At 44.2% G+C, this 24,827-nt stretch overlaps 1 long non-coding RNA gene across 1 annotated transcript in view; it reads right to left on the bottom strand.

The window, feature by feature from the left end:
- RHOXF1-AS1 (RHOXF1 antisense RNA 1) overlaps positions 1-24,827 on the bottom strand; it is a 110,620-nt gene that overhangs the window by 44,161 nt on the left and 41,632 nt on the right. The gene's annotated exons all lie outside the window — the stretch shown is intronic.

Raw genomic sequence — 24,827 nt, 5'->3', positions numbered from 1 at the left:
AAATATGAAACCTGAAAGGACTTGATTTAGGAACCAAACCCAGGGTGTTGTGGTGGGAAAAAAGGGCAGAACCATAGCTACTGAACTGCACCATGGGACAACAGCTGTTGCTCTTTCAGTTTGGCTTGGCTAGCAAAAAGTGGCCTTGTTATGTAAGTAAAACCCCTCAGTAGTTAAAATCTTTCCTCTTTTTCCCCTTTGCTGGTCATTTTTTCTTTTTCCTTTTTTTCCCCAGCTGTGGGAATTTAGCTAATTCAGTGGCATTGTTCCCCATAATTTGGAAATTTCCTTCAGATTTGACTAAGTCTGATAGAGTTTATCAAATCCAATGGAAAAAAGACCAAAAGAAGAACAAAAATAGAAACAAACAAAAATAGTTAAGCAAAACAAACAAAAAATTGCACAACTTATACAATTACTGAGCACTCTAAAGGTAAGTAGAAATTAAGAGCAGCTGGTTGTTAATTTTAACTTTAGTCATTAAGGAGAATTTCCAAGACAAAATCCCAATTCAGTTACTTACCTAGGAATGGAGCCCAGTCTGAAGATGGCTCTCTACCATCCTAGAAGCAGGAAACAACTTCAACTCACCTTCCCTGTTGGAAGTGAGCTCACACTCCAAAAAGGAGTTGCCTGCTCTCCATCAACATGAAGCAGGACAATTCACCTTCCTTGTGTAAAACTCCAGAAAAGGAGTTGTACAACAAAATAAACCTTAGATCTCAGCCAAATTTGAGGAGATCATGGATTCTCTGAAGGGGGAGCTCCCAGGACTTCACAAATTGTCCTATTGGTTTGAACAATAAAGATAGCTCAAACTGGTACCAAGCACCAATAGGAGATTTGTCAAAGGTTAGGGGAACCTCCACTCAGAAGCCATTCCTGGTTACCAACTTGTGAACCAAAAGTATCTGAGACAGGTTCCAATCAATTTAGAAAGTTTATTTTACCAAAGTTAAGGATGCACCCATGACACAGTCTCAGAAGGTCCTAATGACATGAAATGTAGCAGGACGATCCACAGACAAAACTCCTCAGGCACCAGGTTAAAGACGGAAGGAGCTTTATTTGGCCAGCAGTGTCGGCAGACTCATGTCTCAAAAACCGAACTCCCTGAGTGAGCAATTCCTGTCCCTTTTAAGGGCTTACAACTCTAAGGGGGTCCACATGAGAGGGTCGTGTTCGATTGAGCAAGCAGGGGATATGTGACTGGGGGCTGCATGCACCAGTAATCAGAACAGAACAGAACAGGACAGGGATTTTCACAATGTTTTTCCATACAATGTCTGGAATCTATAGACAACATAACCAATTAGGTCAGGGGTCGATCTTTAACTACCAGGCCTGGAATGCAGTGCTGGGCTGTCTGACTACTGATTTCACTTCTGTCTTTTAACTCCTACTTTTTCTTTGAGGCAGAAATTGGGCATATGACAATATGAGGGGTGGTCTCCTCCCTTATTCCCCCCTTTGAGAACCTCACTCATTAGTGGGAGTTCTCACTTTCATCCTCACTACCCATGTCTTCTTGCAAGACAGATCAATAGTGATTTATATAGTACACCTGTGCTGAAGCATTTTGGTGAACTAAGGTAGCGGTGAAGCTTTTTATTACTTGTAGGAGTACAGGTAGCAAACAAGGGAGTAGTAAGCAGGTTCTTATTGCTATTATAATTTTTATTATAAGAGTTTTAAATGCTCTTAGCCCTAGAAACCATTTTCCAAACATGGCTCCAGGATTAAGTCCATGCCATACTTGCATGGGCACATGTGCCAGTTTTGTCATATCTTTTTGTCTTCAACTACTTGCCCTTGATCATTTATGTGCAAACAGCAATTGGTTAGGTAAAATTTTCCACAGACTCCTCCTTCAGCTGCTAGCAAGTAGTCTAGGACTAGTCTATTTTGATAGATAGCATTTCTCATCTGGGTTTTTGCTGGGCTAAAACAGTTAAAGCTCTGCCAGTTTTATTAGTGATTACTTCTCAGACAGCTTATAACCGTATGATTCGGTTGATAGTATAAATGGGGGTTGGGTATCCCCATGAGCCATCTTGTGCCTAAGTGGTAGGCCCATAGTACTGTATGATTCTTTCAGGGGGCCACTTGTCATCTTTCCAGTCGCCTATAGCTATGCTTCTCTTTTCTTGGGAAGCATAGACTGGGAAGCCTAGAAGTTCGCCTGTTTTTATGGGCAGTAGGAAAAAGGATGGGTTATAGCACACATCAGGCTGGTCACTTCCTGGTCTACATACCTTGTATAGAATAGCATTATACAAACAAGTTCCTTTTAGAGTCCCAGTACACTTATAATAACCATAAAATAATAGGACTGTAGCAATCTTTTGTCCTACCTCAGTGACTTGATGTATATACTGGGAACAGTCCTCAGTCTGAGGAAGGTCAGTTGAAGTTCTTACTGTACAAGTCCAAATTTTAAGGGAAATGAGTCCTGCGATGAGTTTCCTCATGCTTTGACCATGCAAGGACCAGTCAGCTTCCAGGTGTGACTGGGGCAGGGCTTGTCATCTTCTTCAGAGTCACTTTGCAGGGGTTGGCGAAGCTGCTCCCATGCACGTACAGCTCCCAGTCTACTGATGTTTAAGGATGGTCTTGGAGGTTGGGCCTGCTAGAATAAACTGAGTCCAACACCTCTACACAGTTAAGTTTAACTGGGCTCTCTGATACCAGGAGCAAGGTGGCGGGGTTTAGGGTGTTGCAAACTTCAATGGTTATGTGGGGATTTTTCACAGAGCAAGCTTTGGTATCTAGTTAGTCTAGTATTTGTTAGCTAATGACGTCCTTTGGTATTTATTAAAGTCACCACAGCATGGGGGGCCTTTATGTTTAGGTTTTGCCCAAGAGTTAGCTTATCCACTTCTTGTGCTAGTAGGGCTGTTCCTGCCAAGGCCCTCAAACATGGGGGCCAACCCTTAGAAACCCCATCTAGTTATTTAGAGAGGTAGGCCACTGGCCTCAGCCAGGGCCCCACAGTCTGGGTTAAATCTCTAACTGCCATTCAGTGTAAAAGGTTTGGTCAGGTCAGGTAGCCCCAGGGCTGCAGCCAACATGAGGTTTTTCTTTTAACTCCTGAAAAGCTAGTTGCTGTTGGTTGTAATAGGTGTAGTTTATTTACTTTACATTTTTATTAACTGTCACCTACCAAAATATTGACTTAAATCCTGCAGCTATTTTATTTTGGGCTTTAAATTGATCTGGTATTTCCCGTGGGACTCCAATTGCATCTAAATAGACATGAGAGTCGAAAGACCCATAAGAGGCTTCTCTCGCTTTATGATGTCTTATTTTTCCTCCCTCTGGTTGATGAAATGCCAGGGTGAAAGGGATAGCCAATTGGACTAAAGCACAAATGCCACTCCAGTTATTCGGCAGAGTGCCCAGTAAAGGTCCACCACAATACCACACACATCCGCTCGGGGATGAACAAGGGCTGACTGATTGATAAGCTCTTGAAAATTCTTAAGCTCACTGCATCCCTTCAGGTCTCCAAGGAATGCTAAGTTTTCTCCCTGTTGTGAGAGACATGAAGTGAACTTAGTGTTGGGAGATGGAAGCTGGATGGCCCTCAGGGGCTGACTCGCAGGGTGCCAGACTTCAGGACATAGCGGAGAGAGCTTGGCACGACTTATTACTCCAGGCTGTAGAATCCTGAAAAAGAGCTATCATGCAGCCCACACCTGGTCAACTGGATGACTACCTTAGTGAAAAGGGGACAATCTGGGCCTCTGGCCTGCCATGTGCACAAGCATAACGATTGCTTTTGTTTAATGTGCGGAAAGAATATTTGATCCATTCCAACCAGGCATTTGCATCTTGGTATACTGCCTTAATTGCCAAAGTTTGTTTTAAGTCTTTAACTTCTATGATTCTTTAGTAAAATGAATGTATGGTTTTAGGAAATTACAAAAACTGGTTGGGGTAGTTCATTCTTGCTTTTTAGTGGTCCACAGAACTTTGGACCAACTACGGCATAAAAGCTCCACATCGGGGGGCAAGACTCCTGGTTGACACTGGGGTCTTTATTGAAATCTCCCTGGATTAGATGGTCCTAATTTACTAATGCCCAGTCTGAGGAGAGTCAGGAGGGACAGAGGTACTTTTTTGAAGTAGAGAGCTGTTTTTGGCTTAGCAAGTCCCTGCAGGGTATAACAAAGCAAGCATTAAATGCAATAGTTTGAGGCGAAATTGACTTGGTTATGTTAATAACTACATGGTCAGTAATAGAGCGAGGAAAGAAGAAAGTAATAGAATAGATGAAAGAATTAAATTTTTCTTAGCTTGAGTTTGGTAGGGTTTTCCCCTGGGACTATGGCCCATGACTCTGGAGGGGGTGGTGCTTTGACTCGGGTATGATGAGTCCATCCCTTTTCTGCTGTAAGAACAGCAGTCTTGGTGGTTAGCAGCACAAGGAAGGGTCCTTCCTAGGCTGGCTCGAGTTTCCCTTCTTTTTACCCTTTGATGAGAACATGATCCTCAGGCTAGTGCTGGTTTACCAGAAATTCTAGGGGTGGTACATGTGCTAAAAGACTTTTAGTTTTAAGGGAAAGGAAAGTGGAAGATAAACCAAGTATGCAATTTTTAAGAAATTGACCTTTTGTTTTAAATGTGGGATCATCAGCAGTCCTTGGTGCCTTTCTACTGAAAAATTTCCTTTAGCACCTACTTTTATTAGTTTTTAGACCAAAGAAAGCCAAACACCATTTTATATTTAATAATGCTTCCTGTATGATAATACAGGAATAATAATGCTTCTTGTCTTTCATGCATGGATGTGAATTGACAGTTCAATTGCATTTAAAATATGGCACAATGAGCCATTGGCTGTGCTGAGAGATCTGGGTTGTTGACCAAATTCTGAGGCTTCCTTGTTCTCAATCCCTCTCACAACCTGTTTCCCTAGGAACTTGGTGGTCAGCAGAGCACTTGAATTCTCCTTCCAAACCATGAGCTTATATTTTTGGCTGTTCCTTCTCTCTTTTGCAGACACACGTGCATGTAGGCATGCATGCACACACACAGGATCTTTAGCTAGAAAGCACCCTGGAATGGTCACATCACTCCATTTCACCCTGTGCTTTTTGGTCATCAGAATACCCCCACCCCCACAAGCTGCAACCACGTTTCTACCTGTTAGAAGACACAACTGTCAAGTTGTTCCCAGTGAGATAAAACAAGAAACAATCGTCTATTTATGAGAGCATTTTCCAATTTAAAATTCCAATTGACTAATCCAGGAGTTTGGGAAATTTTCCATATGCACAGTGGCCTAATATCAAACTCCTTCCTATAAAAATAGGAACAATTCATCATCATAAAGCTTGTCAAGCCAGTTGTTAGTGGGACCCACAAAGCCAGTTCCTCAGTTGGGTATCAAATCCGTACAAATCTGTATTAACTAAAAATAATAACTAGTTTATTCACGAGAAAAATTAATTTTAAAAGTACATAATTCAGGTCCTTCCAAAAACACATTAGTGATTAAAAGCTTTTTTTAGTGTTGAAATCTCTTAAAAAGTTATTGATATAATTGGGAAGGGCCTTCATGTAGAGTCGAATGAACACAGACCATAATACATTCCTGCACAACCCCTACTCCCTATTGGCTCCCCTCCGGAGTCCTGCATGGGTGCTCTAAGTGGCAGTCATGTGCTAGTCCATGCTGCAGGGTCACAGATTGGGAAGACCGGTAATGAATGGAAGCTGGATGTCCCTGAAGCTATAACATAGGCCAAGTGCAGTAGCTCACACCTGTAATCCCAGCACTTTGGGAGGCTGAGGTGTGCAGATCACCTGAGATCAGGAGTTGGAGACTAGCCTGGCCAACATGGTGAAACCCTGTCTCCACTAAATATATGCCTGTAATCCCAGCTACTGGGGAGTCTGAGGCACGAGAATCACTAGAACCCGGGAGGTAGAGGTTGCAGTGAGCCAAGATCACACCACTACACTCCAGCCTGGGTGACAGAGTGAGACTCCATCTTAAAAAAAAAAAAAAAAAAGGAAAAAAAAAAAAGCTGTAACAGAAAAACAACTTAATTATTGCAAAGAAGAGATCAGTATAGTGACATGTGACTCCAATCCCACTGCAGTGTCTAGGGTAGGCATGTGTTACCGTGTGCTCTTTCAGTTTAGCCATCTGTAGGCAGCTTGTGTTTATCAACTCAATTAGACCCCCTGCCTTATCGCAAGGGCAGAGGGCTTTCTGTATCGCAGGTTCTTGCCTTGGTGTACCAGAAAAATCAGATCACATGTGGGCTTGGAGGATGGGTGCAAGGTTTTTTATTGAGTGGTGGTAGCTCTCAGCGAGGTGGATGGAGAGGCCAGAAGGGGGATGGAGTGGGAAGGTGATTTTCCCCTGGAGTCAGGCCACCCAGCGGCCAGGCTCTCCTCTGACCACCACAGCCAAAGTCAGTGTTGTTCAGCTGGTCGGCCTGCTGGCATCTGCTGGTGTCTGCTGGTGTCTGCCGGTGTGCTCTTCCACCAGTGTGTTCCTCTCGAGGGCCAGCCACTTCTGTCTGCCCATGGCCACTTGTGTCTCTGCCAATATGGTCTCGGGGTTTTTATAGGCACAGGATGGGGGCGTGGTGGGCCAGGGTGGTCTTGGGAAATGCAACATTTGGGCATGAAAACAGAAATGCCTGTCCTCACTTTGGTCCATGGGCACAGGACCGGGGTGGAGCCCTTGCTAGGGACCCCGCCTTCTCCTCCCAGCATTTCCCTGCCTCCCTCCCCTGTCATTGGTGTGCTCTGGCCTCCCCTCACTTCCCATTCAAGAAACACAGGCTGCTCTCCGGAAATGGCAAGAACATCGTGCGCCATTTGGAGGTGGGAGAGTTGGGAATAGGAGAGGTGGGGTTGTTCTCTGAGGACCTAAAGTCCCACCAATCAGGAGTCTGGCAAATGAACCACAATTGCAAAATTGGCTTTTATGTGAAAGTATACATTCTGGTGCCACAAAAGTCGGGCAATTAAGATTTCCATTGAAAAGTTTCTTACTAGAAATTTCCCCAAATCACATAACTTCTCTGACTCAATTCAGCTCTTGGACCTAACTCAGTGAACGATTACTTTCAGTATCCAATAGTGTGGTCCAGTTTTTCCATTTAACACTATTTCAGAAATGCTTTTCAACATTTTATCATTTTCTTCATAGTTTTCATTTTAATGTCTGCATTCGTATCTTGTAATTTGCTTAAGGTTGTTTCCTGACACATAATGAGTGATCAACAGATATCAATTGAATGAATGCACATCTTTGTACATATGGCTACTTTTAAACTTTCTTTTGCTTCCTTTTTTGTTTTCTGTTTGTTTGAGACGGAGTCACCCTGTCACCCAGGCTGGAGTGCAGTGGCACAATCTAGGCTCACTGCAGCCACTGCCTCCCCGGTTCAAGCAATTCTCCTGTCTCGGCCTCCAAAGTAGCTGGGTTTACAGGTGTGTGCCACCATGCCTGGCTATTTTTTTTGTATTTTTTAGTAGAGATGGGGTTTCACCATGTTGGCCAGGCTGGTCTTGAACTTCTGACCTCAAGTGATCTGCTCATCTCGGCCTCCCAAAATGCTGAGATTACAGGTGTGAGCTACCATGCCTGGCCTTGTTTTGTTTTTGAGGCAGTGTTTCACTCTGTCACCCAGGCTGGAGTGCAGTGGCTCAATCATGGCTCACTGCAGCCTCGACCTCCTGGGCTCAAGTGATCCTCCCACCTCAGCCTGCTGTGTAGCTTGGGCTATAGGCATGTACCACCATGCCCAGCTAATTTTGCAAATTTTTTGTAGAGCCAGGGTTTTGCCATATTGCCCAGGCTGGTCTTGAACTCCTGGACTCAAGCAATCCTCCTGCCTCAGCTTCCCAAATTGCTGGGATTTCAGGCATGAGCCACCACACTCAGCCTAAATTAGCATTTTTGGGCTAACATGCCAGAACTGAAATACATAAGTGAAAGAGTTTGAACCTTTTCTTTTTTTCTTGTATATTGCCATGAGAAACAGTATCCAGTTTTGGTTAAAAACATGGTTTTTAGGCTAGGTGTGGTGACACGCGCCTGTAGTCCTAGCTACTCAGGAGGCTGAGGCAGGAGGATCCCTTGAGCCAAGGAGTTTGAGGCTGTAGTGAGCTAGAGTTGTGCCACTGTGCTCCAGCCTGGGCCACAGAGCAAGACTCTGCCTCTAAAAAATAATCAGCAAGGCACCGTGGCTTACACCTGTAATCTCAGAGATTTGGGAGGTGAGGTAGGAGGATCACTTCAGGCCAGGAATTTGAGAACATCCTGGGCAACATAGTGAGACATCATCTCTATTTAAAAAAAAAAAAAAGCTTCCAAATGGTTTTATGTAAAATAAAAAAAAGGAACATAGCGTTTTTAACTTCAACAAAGCTCTATTAGGCTAGTTTGGATATTTGTCCCCTGCAAATCTCATGTCAAAATTTAATCCCCAGTGTTGGAGGTGAGACTTGGCAGGAAATGTTTGGATCATGGGGTTGAGTCCCTCATGAATGGCATGGTGCTGACCTGGTATAATGAGTGAGTTCACACTCTATTATTTCCCCTGAGATCTGCTTGTTAAAAAAGCCTGAAACCTCCTCCCCTATCTTTTGTTCCTTCCTGTCACCATGTGATTGACATACACTTGCTCCCCTTCCTCCATGAGTGGAAGCTTCCTGAAGCCCTCACCAGAAGCAGATGCTGGTGTCATCCTTCTTGTACAGCCTACAGAACGATGAACCAAATAAACCTCTTTTCTTTATAAATTACCCAGCCTCAGGTGTTCCTTTACAGTAACACAAAAATGGACTAAAACACCATACTAACTGTGTGATGGGGGACCACTTACCCCTCCCTTCTGAGTCACAGTCATCTGATCTACAAAATGGGGTAAACAGTAGTTCCTCTGCACAGAGATGTGGGCACAAGAGGAAAGTGGGCACAATATTGGTTATTGTTATTATCATTGCCATTTGCAATACATGTTTTTCCCCACAGCCACAGGAACGTTGTATTTTATCATTTTCAGCTTGTCTTTATTTATTAATTAGGTATGAAATGACACTGTTATATTTATACTAACTAGGCCAGGCTTGGTGGCTCATGCCTGTAATCCCAGCACTTTAGGAGGCTGAGGCGGGCAGATCACCTGAGGCCAAGAGTTTGAGACCAGCCTGACCAACATGGTGAAACCCCATCTCTACTAAAAATACAAAAATTAGCTGGGCGTGGTGGTAGGTGCCTGTAGTCCCAGCTCCTCTGGAGGCTGAGGCACAAGAATTGCTTGAACCCAGGAGACAGAGGTTGCAGCAAGCCGAGATCACACCACTTCACTCCAGCCTGGGTGACAGAGTGAGATTCTGTCTCAAAAATATAATAAAATAAAATATAAATTTAATTTAAAAATATATTTATAGTTCCTTGTTGCATAGTGAAGTTAACACCTTTTTTAAGGCTCTTCTATGTGCTTTTTGTTCTGTGATTTGTTTTATTCTTCACTGAACGTTTGGACATTTGGTGGTATTCTTCCAATGTTTAATAACTTAAAAAATACATTTAAAATAACTAATGCTTACGTTTTTCACTACAAATATTTCCCCATTCTGTTGTTTTCCTCTTTTTCTTAGTTTTGTGGTCCATATTTTTCTTTCTGATTTTTTTATTGCTTCATAACTTTAAAAGTTATCCTTCTTCCAGAGTTGACATTATGCTTTATCAAATAATTGCACTGATGATTTTTAAATTCTATACTTCTACTTGATTTGATGTTACCTAAATTTAACTCCTTAAATCAGCTGAGATACATTGTGCTGCCTTAGTAGGAGATAGGTAGAAAGGTGAGGATAGGAATAACATCTACCTTACACCATTGCTGTGACAAGTGAAAGACGCAATGCATGCATGTCTAACACTGCGCCTGGCAGGTAAAGAGCAGGGACTCAGTAAGTGACGAAAGCTATTAATTTAATTCTTATTATCAGTATCTAAAGTTGGATATCTGTAGAAGGAACACTGAGAGGTTTGTCACATACCAATTATAGGAGTAACATAGAACTGTAAAAATTTTATAAATTAATTGAAAATGACAACTCTAAATTCATATGTACAACTGCACATGAAATACATATAATCATAGATATAACTAAACATACACAGCAATACATTTACTTCTTTTTGATACTGCGAGTGATGTCAAGGGAAAAGACATTCACATTTCAAAGTTTAGTTTTATAAAATTAAATATTTCAAGAATATCAGTTAAAATAAAACAAAAGCATAACTCAGAAGCTAAAAATGGTAAAACCTTTGGCCAGGTTTTCATTTAAGTTTCTTTAGATTTGTGAGTTTTGTTATTATTTTTAGAATTTATTTATTAAGTTGTTTTTTTATTTCCATAGGTATTTGGGGAACAGGTGGTATTTGGTTACATGAGTAAGTTGTTTAGTGGTGATCTGTGGGATTTTAGGACACCCATCAATCAAGCAGTATACACCGAACCCAATTTGTAGTCTTTTGTCCCCCACCCCACTCCCACCCTTTCCTCCGAGTCCCCAAACTCCAATGTATCATTCTTATGCCTTTGCATCCTCATAGCTTAGCTCCCACTTATGAGTAAGAACATACAATATTTGTTTTTTGTTATTGTTTAAACAGTGAGTTTCAAAAGTGTTTCACTTTATAAAAGTACACTCAGAAATATGAATATCTATTGCCTTCTTATTCCTCACACTACCTCAGGAAAGCAAATACGTCATTGCAAATATACTAATGTAAGTTATGCTCTACCCTTCTAACCAATGACATAATTCTTAATTCTGTGATTTGAAATAAAAAATTGTCTCAGCACATGCTCTCAAGAAAAGCCTTGCACAGGCCGGGCGCGGTGGCTCACGCCTGTAATCCCAGTACTTTGGGAGGCCGAGGTGGGCGGATCACGAGGTCAGGAGATCGCGACCATCCTGGCTAACACGGTGAAACCCAGTCTCTACTAAAAAAGAAAAATGCAAAAAAAATTAGCTGGGCCTGGTGGCAGGCGCCTGTAGTTCCAGCTACTTGGGAGGCTGAGGCAGGAGAATGGCGTGAACCCAGGAGGCGGAGCTTGCAGTGAGCGGAGATCAAGCCACTGCACTCCAGCCTGGGCGACTGAGCGAGACTGTGTCTCAAAAAAAAAAAACAAAACAAAACAAAAAAGAAAGAAAGAAAAGCCTTGCACAGGCTTTCGGGAAGTTGATCAGGGCTTTACATGTAATTACAGAATAGCAACTAAGCCAGGGAACCTTTTGTGGCCCCTTACAGCTGCACTCTGAAAATTCAAGTGAATAAAATTAGAGTTGAAGTTATGAATAACAAGTTTTAGCCCTGGAACAATGCCTACTGTAACATTCTAGCATTTCAATTATGATCCTACCTGAGGCTGCCAACTAGGCTGGATCTTCCATGGAAATATTTTCTGCACACTTCTTACAATCTCTCCAATTTCTGTGTCTAATCTTCGTGACACATGTTGCCAATATTATCAAAGGAGACCAATTTAGCTGACAAGTGTACAGATTTTAGGTTCCATCCAAACTTTAAGGGGGCATAGTCTTTCCTAATATGCCCTATGTTTAAGGACACTTGCTCTGAAGTCATACAACTCAATTTCTCCCATCTCTTCTCTGCCCTCCCTATTACACCATCCCTTAGTTATCTTCTTCCCTCATTCCCTCCTCCCCCTTGCCCATTCTCTTCATGCTTTCTCCTCTTCATGTCTACGTCTAGCAAGCTGATGGCTCCCAGCAATGAAGTGCAGGTGAAATTCTGACATTGTATTTTTCTCAAATAAGCCACTCAGCCAGTAGATAGCTTGTCAACACCTTTAAAGTACCTAGGTGTCTGGCACTATGGGGAAGAAAAGCTGAATGAACTAATGTTTCCATCCTCACAACCTAGTTGGAAAGATAAAGCATGTTCATGTGAAAAGATAACTAGAAAGGCCAAGCAGGGGACAGCAAAATACTTTCTAACTTAAAATATGATTCAAAGTTAGATTTAGTAAGTTCTAAGCAACTATAGCCGAAGTTAAATCCTTTCAAGATAAAGGGCACCACACTGACCTCAGAAATAAGAGTGTAACCAAGTACCCCCATTTTTCTAAGTGGTAGTTTAATTATTTTTTTCTGTTCTTTTCTCCTTTCTCCTTTCCCCCTGCTTCCTATTTAGCCCTTTTTGAAATGCAAAATAACCTCTCTCCTCCCAGTCACCAGACTTTCCCTACAGCGCAAGTTCATCCGTGTGCCCCAAGATGGAGCTCTCCTCTAGAGTTGATAGTTGAAGTGCAGATCAAAGCATGTCCCCACAGAAATCCCACCTCCAGAGGGTCACCTCAGGAGGGCATGCTTTCCATTTAGCCACTTTTACAACTTATTTCTGCCCAGAAAGGCACCAACTCAACTGTCTGGTAGATAAGAAACCAGGGTAGCAGGGAGACCCCCTGCCCTTGCTCACTTCTCTGGTCAACTTAGAAAAGATTTCACTTTTGCTACAAAGGTGAAGCATCACATTTAAAACAAGACACTTTATGCCCCTTCCCCTAGCTAGCTTCGGAAATAAATTCACTTTTCTTGTACAAGGCCTTGCTCTTGTTAATTGGACTCTAAGTCCAATTAACCTGCTTTTTGGTTACAAGAGGAGGTGGTTATAGCCCAGGATTTTACCAAGCTGAGGTCCATCCTCCAACATTGAAGTCCATAGACCCTGAGTACTGTGCTGGTCAGTCCCAGGTGGGCAGATCCTTGAGAGTCATGAAATCTTAAGACCTCTCAGAACAATCCAGCCTCACTTGAACAGGTGTGTTTGCCACACAGTGGACTGCCTCATTGAATAGTGCCTTGTGCAGAACTAAAATACTGTGGCAAAGCTGTTCCTCTAATGGCTGAATATCTGATGGTGATGTTGATGTTTTTCTCTTTTCCAGTCAGGTCCAAGGTCATATCTACGGTGGACCACTCTTACAGGCTTAGCCTGAAAACTCTATGATTACCCTATAGACCCACCGCAAACACCAAGGTCTGTAAGGTAAAAGAAAAGAGTGGGCTCCCTGGACCTTGACTGCTTTTTAGCCTCTAAAAACAAAATACATTAGCATGAGAAGGAAAATGTATATGCTAAACAAAACACTCCTCCATGTAACCATGTGGTAAGTGGCACAAAAGAAGATGCACATAATGTATCAATGAAACTCTTTTTTGTGTGTGTGTGTGATGGAGTCTCACTCTGTCGCCCAGCCTGGAGTGCAGTGGCGTGATCTCGGCTCACTGTAAACTCCACCTCCCAGGTTCACGCCATTCTCCTGCCTCAGCCTCCTGAGTAGCTGGGACTACAGGCACCTGCCACCACGCCCGGCTAATTTTTTGTACCATTAGTAGAGACGGGGTTTCACCGTGTTAGCCAGGATGGTCTCAATCTCCTGACCTCGTGATCCGCCCCCTCGGCCTCCCAAAGTGCTAGGACCACAGGCGTGAGCCACCGCGCCCGGCCCAATGAAACTCTTAAACACATGGGAAATCACATTGTTTTCTTGTATAAGTAATACTGGATGTTCTCATTGTTTTCCCTACCTTTTATCTACTGCCTTTGTGAATATAATTCTTTGGGATCATAGTAGAAATCACATACTTACTTTATTATATTATCTGAGCACTCTGTAGATCAAGTATAATAATTGATCTCTCTGTGTTTTCTGAAAGTAAAGATAGTATCTGCCAACATACAAAACAACTGATAAGATTATGCAAACATAGCTTTGGGTTTATTCTACACAGAACTTAACTTTTCTTTTGCCCTTTGTCAAAAGTACAATAAAATGTGAAAGTTATAACAAAGTTCTCAACCAGCTCAGTTCAGTTCAGTAATTCTCAACAGGACAGTCAGCTATAGGCCACAAATTTCTGTGCCTGTATCCCTTAGAAAGAAAAGGAAGAACACATTCCAAAAGAATATTCCAGTGTATGTATGGAACAGGAATTAAAAGAAATTAAAGAGTGTGCAAGCAGAAACTCAGTTGTATGTAAGAAAACCCAATTCCCCCTAAGAAAGAGAAAGAGCTGAAGTCCTTTAAAATTAACTGCCTGTTTTTCTGTGGCTAGTGAGCCTTATCTCTCCCACTTTCCCAGGCATTGTGAAGACCCTGTCTCCTTAGCTGTGCAGCTGCAAGGTCACTAGACAGAAAAACTCAAGTTGCAAAACATGTTTTTCCTTGAAAAGTAAAAAATGATATAATGCATGTCTCAATTGCCTTTGTTTCTCACTTCTGTAGTATACTTTCCTCTGCACAGATCTCCCCCGACCCACGAAATGCTTAAAAGGTAACTTAACTCTGTTCAGGGCTCAGTCCTTTGGATGTTAATCCGACTGGACCAGTGCACCTAAATAATTAATAAATATCCTCCTGAGCCCCATTGGTCTCTCTGATTCCTTAAAAATCTCGTAACATTTCTGGGAACTCGCCTGGGATTGGAGACAACAGATTTACTGTCTCATTTGCCTGGGGGACTAGAGCCCCAGGGCTGGGGAGACCCAGCATCCAAGGCACGCCACAGGGGAGCTTCACCCAGACAGAGACTGGCTCTCCCCACATCCCAGCAGACTGCCCGGCAATGCAACAGAACCAGGAACAGGGCTGCAGGACGATGCCAGCACTTCAGGAACTGTAGTAAGGAGCAAGTGCCTAAGGCAGGGAAGCCTGTCCCATAAGGATGATCACCTCCCAGGGAATGACCACTAATCCAACCCAGAGCAGCTGGGGGTGGCAGGAGAGGCTTGCTAATTTGGATGAACCTCGTGTCCCCATTAACAAAGTGAAAGTGGTTTACTGGATCTGGAGACAGGAACTGGGAGTGTGTGGGTGTGTGTGAACCCACCCAGGACATGAGAGAGGCTCGTTTCGTCTGATGAGGAGTCCTGGGCAGGGGAGGTGTGTGAAAGTGTATGAAAGAGATGGTCTTGGGAGAGGCCAATGCGGGGAGTAACGTGAGGAGGCACAGATCCCTTAGGGCAGGCTGTGTACTCCAAGGTGAGCGTGGAAGAAATCAGACCTAGGATGCCGCATACGGCCAATGGGACCAGTTTCACAGCCACAGCAGGCTGTGACAGGGGAAGGCACATTCCTGGCTAAGCAGTGTCTGAAACTCCCATAAAAGGACCTGGTCTGGTGGATCTGAGAGTGAAAGTGAGAGGGAAAGTGCACTGCAAGGGAGGAAATGGGAGGAAAAGTGTCGAAGCCAACTCCTTTGGAGTGCGTGATAAAGAATTTTAAAAAAGGATTTAGAGGTGATTATGGGATGAAACTGGATGCTCAAAAGTTAAGGACATACTGTGAAATAGATTGGCCTGCTTTCAATGTGGGGTGGCCCTCTGAAGGTACAATAGACAGAAAATTAATTGGCCGTGTGTTTAACGTGGTCACCGGAGTTGGAAGACAACCAGGATACCCAGACCAGTTTCCCTATATAGACTCTTGGCTCAGTGTAGCACAAACTCACCCCAAGTGTCTACAGCCCTGTCTAAAGAGATATTATAAGGCATTAGTGGCTCAGGCAGCCCAACCAAAGGAAGAAAGAAAAACCAGATATAGGAACAGAGATGGCTCAATTTATAGCTGCTGCACTAGCAGAAAGTAACCCTGAATTTGCTAGAGGGCGTGGCCAAGGCAGAGGTCGAGGAAGGGGGCAGACAAGACCAGGAGAGGAAAGCCAATCTTGGTTGGACAGGAACCAATGTGCAAAGTGCAGGAAAATGGGCCACTGGAAAGATGAGTGACCCAAAAAGGAAAAGGATGGAAATGATGGTCAATGGTCTAACACCCAAGTGCGTTATTCGGTTGCTAGTCATGGTGCATCAAGGGCAGATCCTGATCTGATTGGCTTAGCAGGGGCCAAGAATTTTGAGGACTGAGACAGACCAGGCTCCATCTTTTTAGGCCCCGGGGAGCCTATGGTCTCTATGGAAATAGGGGGTCAATTAATGGATTTTTTTGGTCGATACTGGTACTGATTTCTCTGTGGTAACTCACCCAATTAGCCTCCCCACAAAGAACTGTGCTACTATTGTAGGGGCTACTGGGGCCAAAAAAAAGAGACCTTTTTGCAAATCCAGGAGATGTGTTATTGGGGGACAAGAAGTGCAGCATGAGTTTCCGTATATGCCAAATTGTCCAGTGCCCTTGCTGGGGAGAGACTTACTCCAGAAACTGCAGGCAGAAATTTTCTTTACGCCTAAAGGGAATATGACACTGGAGTTTGGAAAGTCCAAGGCAATGGTATGAACTCCAACTGTCCCAAGGGCTGAGGAATGGTGGCTGTGTGAACCGTGTGCCAGAAGGTCACCAGAACCGACCTACACAATATATGGGGGATGCTTTTCAAGGTACCAGGTGTATGGGCCGAGGATAATACCCTGGACTTGCTGCAAACAGACCCCCAGTGGTAGCAGAGCTTAACCCTCATGCTGCCCCGGTATGAGTCCGTCAATACCCAGTACCCAGGGAGGCAATTGATGGAATAACAAAAGCATCTGAATCGGCTTTATACACATGGGATTATAGTAAAATGCAAGTCCTCATGGAATACTCCTCTGTTACCCATGCACAAATCAAATGGGGAATACAGGCCAGTGCAGGATCTCCGGGTGGTAAACAAGGCCACTGTCGCTATCCATGCAACAGTACCCAACCCATACACAATGTTGGGACAGATTCCTGCTGATGCCACTTGGTTCACATGTCTGGACTTAAAGGATGCCTTCTTTTGTTTGAAGCTTGCTCCCCAAAGTCAGAGGGGGCAATCGCAATATACCTGGACAAGGCTGCCGTAAGGGTTTAAGAATGCTACCATTTTTGAGGAGGCCTTGGCTACAGATCTTGAGGCTTTTGCGCCACCTAGTGACAATTATGTGCTATTACAACACATTGATGATTTCCTATTTGCCGCCCCCACGAGGGAGGAATGACTCCAAGGAACAGAGAGGCTTCTTCACGTGCTGTGTGAAGCTGGTTATAAAGTGTCCAAGGACAAGGCAAAAGTCTGTTTTCAGGAGGTTGGATATCTAGGATTCATGGTATCCCAAGGCCAGCGCAGGCTTAAGTGCACGCAAGGAGGCTGTATGTGCACTGCCCACCCCAGTTACAAGGCCAGGGAATTTCTAGGCGTGGCAGGATTCTGCCGAATCTGTATTCCAAACTTCTCCCTTACAGCAAGGCCCTTGTATGAGGCTATAAAAGGAAAGGAAAGAGAGCCCCTCCTATGGCAAAAGAAACAGGAAAAGGCCTTCAAGGATATAAAGGAAGCTCTCATCCAGGCCCCGGCACTAGGGTTGCCAAATGTAAAAAAGCCCTTTTTTTGTATGTGGATGAATGTCAAGGAATGGCAGTTGGAGTCTTAACTCAGTTCTTGGGCTCTTGGCATCGGCCGGTAGCATACTTATCCAAAAGACTGGACTTGGTGGCTTTAGGTTGGCCCCACTGCCTCAGGGCATTGGCAGCTACCGCAATCCTTATAGAAGATGCCAACAAGCTAGCCCTAGGTCAGAAGTTAATAGTTCAGTGCCACACGCCGTAGTCACCTTAATGGAGCAAAGAGGATATGGTTGGCTGTCCAACTCTAGAATGCTAAAGTATCAAGGGCTTCTATGTGAAAATCCCCAGATAACACTAGAGAATGTAAATACCTTGAACCCAGCTACCCTGCTGCCTGTGGAGGAACCCGATTGGAAGGATGCTGGGTTGCCTCACTCCTGGCAGGACCTTCCCCACTGTTGCATAAATATGGTGGACAAAGTGTTCTCGAGCCAGGAAGACCTCAGAGATTCCCCCTTGGAGAGCCCAGATGTTATATACTTCACTGATGGTAGCAGTTTCATAACAGATGGGGTGAGATATGCAGGATATGCAGTAGTGACCCAACACTCAGTGGTTGAGGCTCAAGCCTTACCTTCTGGGACTTCCGCTAAGAAGGCTGAATTAATAGCATTAACCAGAGCACTGTTATTGGCCAAGGGGAAGAAAGTAAACATATGTACTGACTCAAAATATGCTTTTGCAACCCTGCGTGCCCATGGGGGAATACACAAAGAGAGAGGACTTTTGACTACTGAAGGAAAAGAAATAAAAAATAAGGAGGAAATTTTGCAATTATTGGAAGCCGTATGGGCTCCGGAGAAGGTGGCTGTCATTCATTGCAAAGGACACCAAATCAGGAAAAGCTATGAGGTGCAGGGCAACAGAAAGGCAGACCAAGAGGCTCGGCAGGCAGCAATGAGCAAGGCTTCACCTGAAGAAAGAACTCTAGCAATGCCTCTCCTTATAGAGCCCCCTTTGCTGGAGGTACCCCCTTACTCTTCGAGTGAAAAAGCTTGTTTTGTTCTGGAAACAGGGAAATATATTAAAGGTGGATGGTGGCTGTTCTCTGATGGGAGACTAGACGTCCCAGAGACAATAGCCTCAAGGTTTGTGAAGCAGATCCATCAAAGAACACACACTGGAAACTAGAGACTTTGATAGGTCAACACTTCTATGTGCCACGGCTCTCTGCCATCACCCATGCTGTTTGCGAATAATGTCTATCCTGTGTCTGGAATAAGCCAAAACAAGGACCTATTCGACCCCCAGGAATTCAGGAAATGGGAGCTGTGCCTTGTGAGAACCTGCTTGTAGACTTTACCGAGTTGCCTTGAGCAGGAGGTTACCGGTATATGCTAGTGTTTCTTTGCACCTTCTCAGGGTGGGTTGAGGCCTTCCCCACCAGGACTGAAAAGGCACGAGAGGTGACAAAGGTGCTACTAAAAGACATCATACCAAGGTTTGGATTGCCTTTAACCCTAGGATCAGACAATGGTCCTGCATTTGTGGCAGAAGTAGTACTACAGCTGACTCAGCTTTTAAAGATCAAATGGAAACTGCACACAGCCTACTGACCACAGAGTTCAGGGAAGGCGGAATGGATGAACCAGACACTCAAACAGCTACTAAAAATGTTTTGCCAGGAAACTCACTTACGATGGGATCAGGTCTTGCCCATGGTCCTCCTCCAGGTCAGGTGTACACTTACAGAACAAATTGGGTATTCACCCTATGAAATATTATTTGGAAGGCCACCCCCAATCATTAATCAAATTAGAGGGTAGTTAAAGGAGTTAGGAGAGCTAACCCTTAGAAGACAGATGCAGGCTTTAGGAGTGGCAATGCAGGAGGTGCAAGGCTGGGTAAGTGAAAGGATACCTTTAAGTCTAACAGACCCAGTGCATCCACATAAACCGGGGATTCTGTCTGGGTTAAAATGTGGAATCCAGGCTGGGCCTGGTGGCTCACACCTGTAATCCCAGCACTCTGGGAGGCCGGCGGGGGGGAGATCACGAGATCAGGAGAATGAGACCATCCTGGCTAACACGGTGAAACCCCGTCTCTACTAAAAATACGAAAACAAAAAATTAGCCAGGCATGGTGGTGGGTACCTGTAGTCCCAGCTACTTGGGAGGCTGAGGCAGGAGAATGGCATGAACCCGGGAGGCACAGCTTGCAGTGAGCCGAGATTGCGCCACTGCACTCCAGCCTGGGCAACAGAGCGAGACTCCATCTCAAAAAAAAAAAAAAAAAGGTGGAATCCAACAACCCTGGGGCCCTTATAGGATGGGCTCCATATTGTGATCATGTCTACTCCCACTGCTGTTAAAGTTGCAGGTGTCACACCTTGGATTCACCATAGCTGGCTAAAACCAGCGGCAGCAGTGACTCCCCATGACGACCAGTGGACTAGCCAACAAGACCCAGATTGCCCCACCAGAACAGTCCTATGGCAAAACCCAACTACCGGTAAGAAGGACAACTGCCCTGCTCTGACCACACCGGAGGCTGGTCAGTCTACGCACAGGTGAAGCTTGAGAATCCTGCAAGCTCTGCTCTAGTCACAGCCCGGAAGCTGACTAGTCTATGCACAGCCGAAGCTAAAAGGACCATCTCCGGATAAGCAAATGTGGATACAATTTATAAGCCTAGCTATAATTCTGTCAATACTGGTTATTATGTTATGTTATTACTGCAAATGCTGCAAATGTCTATGCCCAGAGGAAGGTTTGCCATGCCCATGTGTAGTGTAAGCATGTTTCTATTATATACACTAATGTTCTTACCATTTCTGCCTATACTAAAAAAGGAGAAATCTCTAGAAAGATGCCCATACTGTGTACACACTACCTGGGTAAGAAACACCATAGTTAAAACTCTACTGTACCATACCTACTATGAATGTACAGGAACCAAGTTAGGAATCTGCACATACAACCAGACCACCTATTCATTCTGTGACCCAGGAAATAATCAGCTACATGTAGGTTATGACCCTAAACTCTTACCTTATGAATTCTGGTTTGAGGTACATATTAAATCAGAGGGAGAAAAAGAAGGAGAGCTTATAGCTCGAACCAAAGAAGCCCCTCCCTCCTATAAAAGGCGTAGTTCCTTGTACTTTGATGCCTGCCATGCCGCATATGTTCATAATCTTAAAAAAAACAGAAGCAGCCTGCAATGGTTTAACACAAGAGAGGCTGAGCAGGAACAGCCCTAAACATCTGTATGGAGAACCACAAATCGGATGCCCGGACCGTAACATTCAGTGGTCTATGCTAACACAGCTCCAACACTTATATTCAGGATGGACTGCTCTGCTAAGTAGTATGTCAGTCAAACTAAATTGTAAGACAAGGACATGCAATTCTTTAAATTTTACTATCTTAAAGCCAGAGCTACCTTTTTGGTCTACAGGGCAGGCAGCACTATTATGAGTTGATAGACAAGAAGCAGGCCTTGGAGTTCCACTACTGATTGTCAAAAAGACTAGAAGGACTCAAATGTGTCCAATCCCCCAATTCTGGGTCCATAAGTCATTCTATAAGCATTTTGATCAGCCAGTGCCTGAGCTTCCCCCATCACCCAAAAACATATTTGCTCAACTAGCTGAAAACATAACTGGCAGCTTAGGAATTTCCTCATGCTATGTATGTGGAGGAACTAATATGGGTGACCAGTGGCCATGGGAGGCAAAGGAATTAATGCCACAAGGTAACTTCACTTTGCCTAACCCTGCCAGTGAACCAACAGCCTCAGCCAGTGTTTGGTTGTTAAAAACCTCCGTAATTAAAAAGTACTGTATCACCCGATGGGGAAAGGCTTTCACAGAGGCAGCAGGAGAAACAACCTGCCTAGGGCAACAGCATTATGATGAGACTAAAAACAAAACTCTACGGAGAAATGCCCAGAATGACTCCTACTTACCAGGTCCAAACCCTTTCTCTTGATTCTCTACTCTAAGCCACACTTGGAATCAGCTAGAGGCTCCAAATGCTTGGAAGGCATCCTCTGGCCTATAATGGATCTGTGGAGCATGGGTACATCAGCAACTGCCGGCTAAATGGACAGGGGCATGTGTGTTAGGAACAATCAAGCCATCCTTCTTTCTAATTCCTCTAAAGCAAGAGGAACTCTTAGGATATCCAGTTTATGATGAAAATAAAAGAAGAACTAGAAGAAGCATAATCACAAAAATAGACACAAATGTCAAAAAGATGTGGACATAGGAGACTGAAAAGATAATGAATGGTCTCCTGAAAGAATCATTAAATATTATAAGCCAGCTATCTGGGTGCAAGACGGTTCATGGGGATATTGCACCCCAATCTATATGCTCAACTGCATCATAAGGTTGTAGGTAGTCCTTGAAATTATAACCAATGAAACACCAAGGGCACTAGGTTTATTGGCAATACAAGCAACACAAATAAGAAATGCTATACATCAAAATAGATGAGCTTTGGATTACCTCTTAGCCTCAGAAGGAGGAGTATGTAGAAAATTTAATTTAACCAACTGTTGCCTAGAAATCGATGATAATGGCCAAGCTATTATGGAAATCACTGCTAGAATGGGCGAGTTGGCCCATGTTCTAGTTCAGACTTGATCCGGGTGGTCCCTGGATTCCTTGTTTGGAGGATGGTTCTCAGCCTTTGGAGGATTCAAAACCCTCATTGGTAGGTTCTTGCTTATTCTTGGCAACTGCCTCATCCTCCCTTGCCTTTTACCCCTGCTTACTAGGAGTATTCAGTCAACTACAGAGGCAATAGTAACCCGACACACTACCGCACAGTTGATGGCATTAACCAAATATCAGCCACTGCCAGTAGAAGCAGCTCAGCTCCGCGAAGAGGTGGCAAGTAGTGGTGCTTTCTATTAACACCTTTGTTATAAAAAGCACCAAAGGGGGGAATGGAAATAGGAATTAAAAGAAATTAAAGAATATGTAAGCAGAAACTCAGTCGTATGTAAGAAAACCCAATTCCCCTGAGAAAGAGAAAGAGTTGGAGTCCTTTAAAAATTAACTGCCTGTTTTTCTGTGGCTAGTGAGCCTTATCTCTCCTCCTTTCCCAGGCATTGTGAAGACCCTGTTTCCCTAGCTGTGCAGCTGCAAGTTCACTAGACAGATAAACTCAAGTCATAAAACATGTTTTTCCTTGAAAACTAAGAAATGATGTAATGCATGTCTCAATTAATTGAATAACTGTCTCTGTTTCTCACTTCTGCAATATGCTTCCCCCTGCCCCACGAAATGCTTAAAAAGTAACTTAACTCTTTGTTCAGGGCTCAGTTCTTTGGATCTTAATCTTACTGGGCCGGTGCACCTAAATAATAAATATCCTCCTGAACCCCATCAGTCTCTCTGATTCCTTATCAATCCCACTACACTATGAGAACCTACATCTCAATGGTCAGGCATTGATCAGACATTGTGGCAATCCCCACATTTCTTGCCACAGGGCCCTGTCAACACAGCAGCCAACAAAGGTTTACTGAGTGAAGTACATATAGGTACAAAAAGACTTATAGAACCATTATTTTCACAATAAAACATCTTACCCCTGTTGCCCACTGCCAGAGAATAGCCATCATCTCTCTCCTTTCAAGGACCCTTGTAAATAAACACATACAAACTGACAGAAGCAGGAAATGTGAGGCAGCATGTTTAATCATCTCCATCTATTCGAAAACCCCATGAGATAGTTATCATTGTTATTCCCATTTTACAGATGACAAAACTAACACAAACGGAGAGTGATCAAGTGAGATTAGCCAGCTAGCAACAGGAAGCAAAGCAAAATTTCAGATTCCAGCAGTTTAGCTCCAGGAAGAGCCAGCCTGACGAGGAGACATCTTAGTTAAAATCAGAAAGAGGCTGTTAGATCGTCATCCCTTCCCATCTCTTTGAACGTGAATTGGTCAAATATTTTCCAGCTGTTTTCTTACCCATCCTCTGGGAACATGAGGTATGATGCGTGCACTCATCCATTAGGATCAGTCGTTGGGGTGACTGGAACCCACAGTACATGTAGGGGCCCACAAACTAGTTTAATTTCTTATATAAAATAAGGTTGATGAAAAGGGTCATTGTGCAAGCAAAAATAGAATGAGTCACTCAAACGATGGAGGATAGGTTCTATGGTTAAAACCTACTCTCTATATTCAGGACATTAACAAGTCCTGAAGTATCTACAAAACACTTCTTAAAGGAAGAATCTTAGAGCACTCAATCTGTCCTGGCTGTGATTATTTGACAATAAATAAAATGTATTTATTCCTAAACAAGAGCTCAGAAAGATATCTGTAGAAAAGGGCAGGAGTAGAGGAAAAGAGGGCTATGCAGCAGCAGGAAAGAAGGGAAATCACTGCAGGTCCACAGCACCAGCTCAGCACAGAAGGTAAGTGCGCATTTGTAATGGGTCTGTAGCCAGAGACATAGCAGAAGCTGCGCTATCCACAGTCACAACCAAAGGCAAAGGAAGGATGCCCTGCAATTTTAGAAATCTTGGCTGCAGCTGGGAACGGTGGCTCACGCCTGTAATCCCGGCACTTTGGGAGGCCGAGGTGGGTGGATCACTTGGGGCCAGCAGTTCCAGACCAGCCCAGCAAACATGGTGAAACCCTGTCTCTACTAAAAATACAATAATTACCCAGGTGTGCTGGTGCGCACCTGTAGTTCCAGGTACTCGGGAGGCTGAGGCACTCCTGAGTACCTGCACAATACATGCAAACACCCACCCCATCCTACTCCCCGGCCCCCCCGCCCTACTCCCCCCCTCCACCCTACGCCCCCCCGCCCTACTCCCTCCCCCGCCCTACTCCCCCCACCCCGTCCTACTGCCCCCACTCCAACACGTGCTCTCCCGTGCCCAAGGCAAGGCCAAGCCCCTGAGGCATGCGCACCTCAGCAGGCCCAACCCACAGCAAATAGTGGGAAGAGGAAAGGCAAGAGAGGAGGTCTCTAAGTGGATACACTGTTACTGAATCTAGGTACCCAGAAGATGGAGGTTGTAGTGAGCCCAGATAGTGCCACTGCATTCCAGAGACAGAGCGAGACTGTCTCAAAAAAAAAAAAAAAAAGAAAAGAAAGAAAGAAAGAAAGAAAAGAAAAGCAATCTCGGATGCTCTAAGCATCATTGTGCATGTTTCCACCCTTGCACTTTGATGTGGATTCATTACTAAGAATTAATAGTGGACTTTCTCAAGGAGTGTGCTGCATTTTTACATAGTGCATTTGCGCAGCCCACAAGCTTTGCAAATCCAGGCCCAAGCTCCTGCTCCTGGAGACCTAGGAAGCATGGGGCTAGTGCAAAATCTCCCTTATCGCCATAAAATGGGCTTGCACAATTCAGCACAGCAGCTTCCCCCAAGTTCCACACTCACGCATGCCTGTCTACAGGACAACGCATGCAAGCACGCACCCCATCCTACTCCCCCTCCCAC

The sequence above is a fragment of the Homo sapiens genome, chromosome X (genome assembly GCF_000001405.40).
Source record: "Homo sapiens chromosome X, GRCh38.p14 Primary Assembly".
In the NCBI taxonomy this organism is placed as follows: domain Eukaryota; kingdom Metazoa; phylum Chordata; class Mammalia; order Primates; family Hominidae; genus Homo; species Homo sapiens.
Note: the sequence above shows the minus strand (reverse complement) of the source record. Positions and strands in the feature narration are given on the sequence as shown.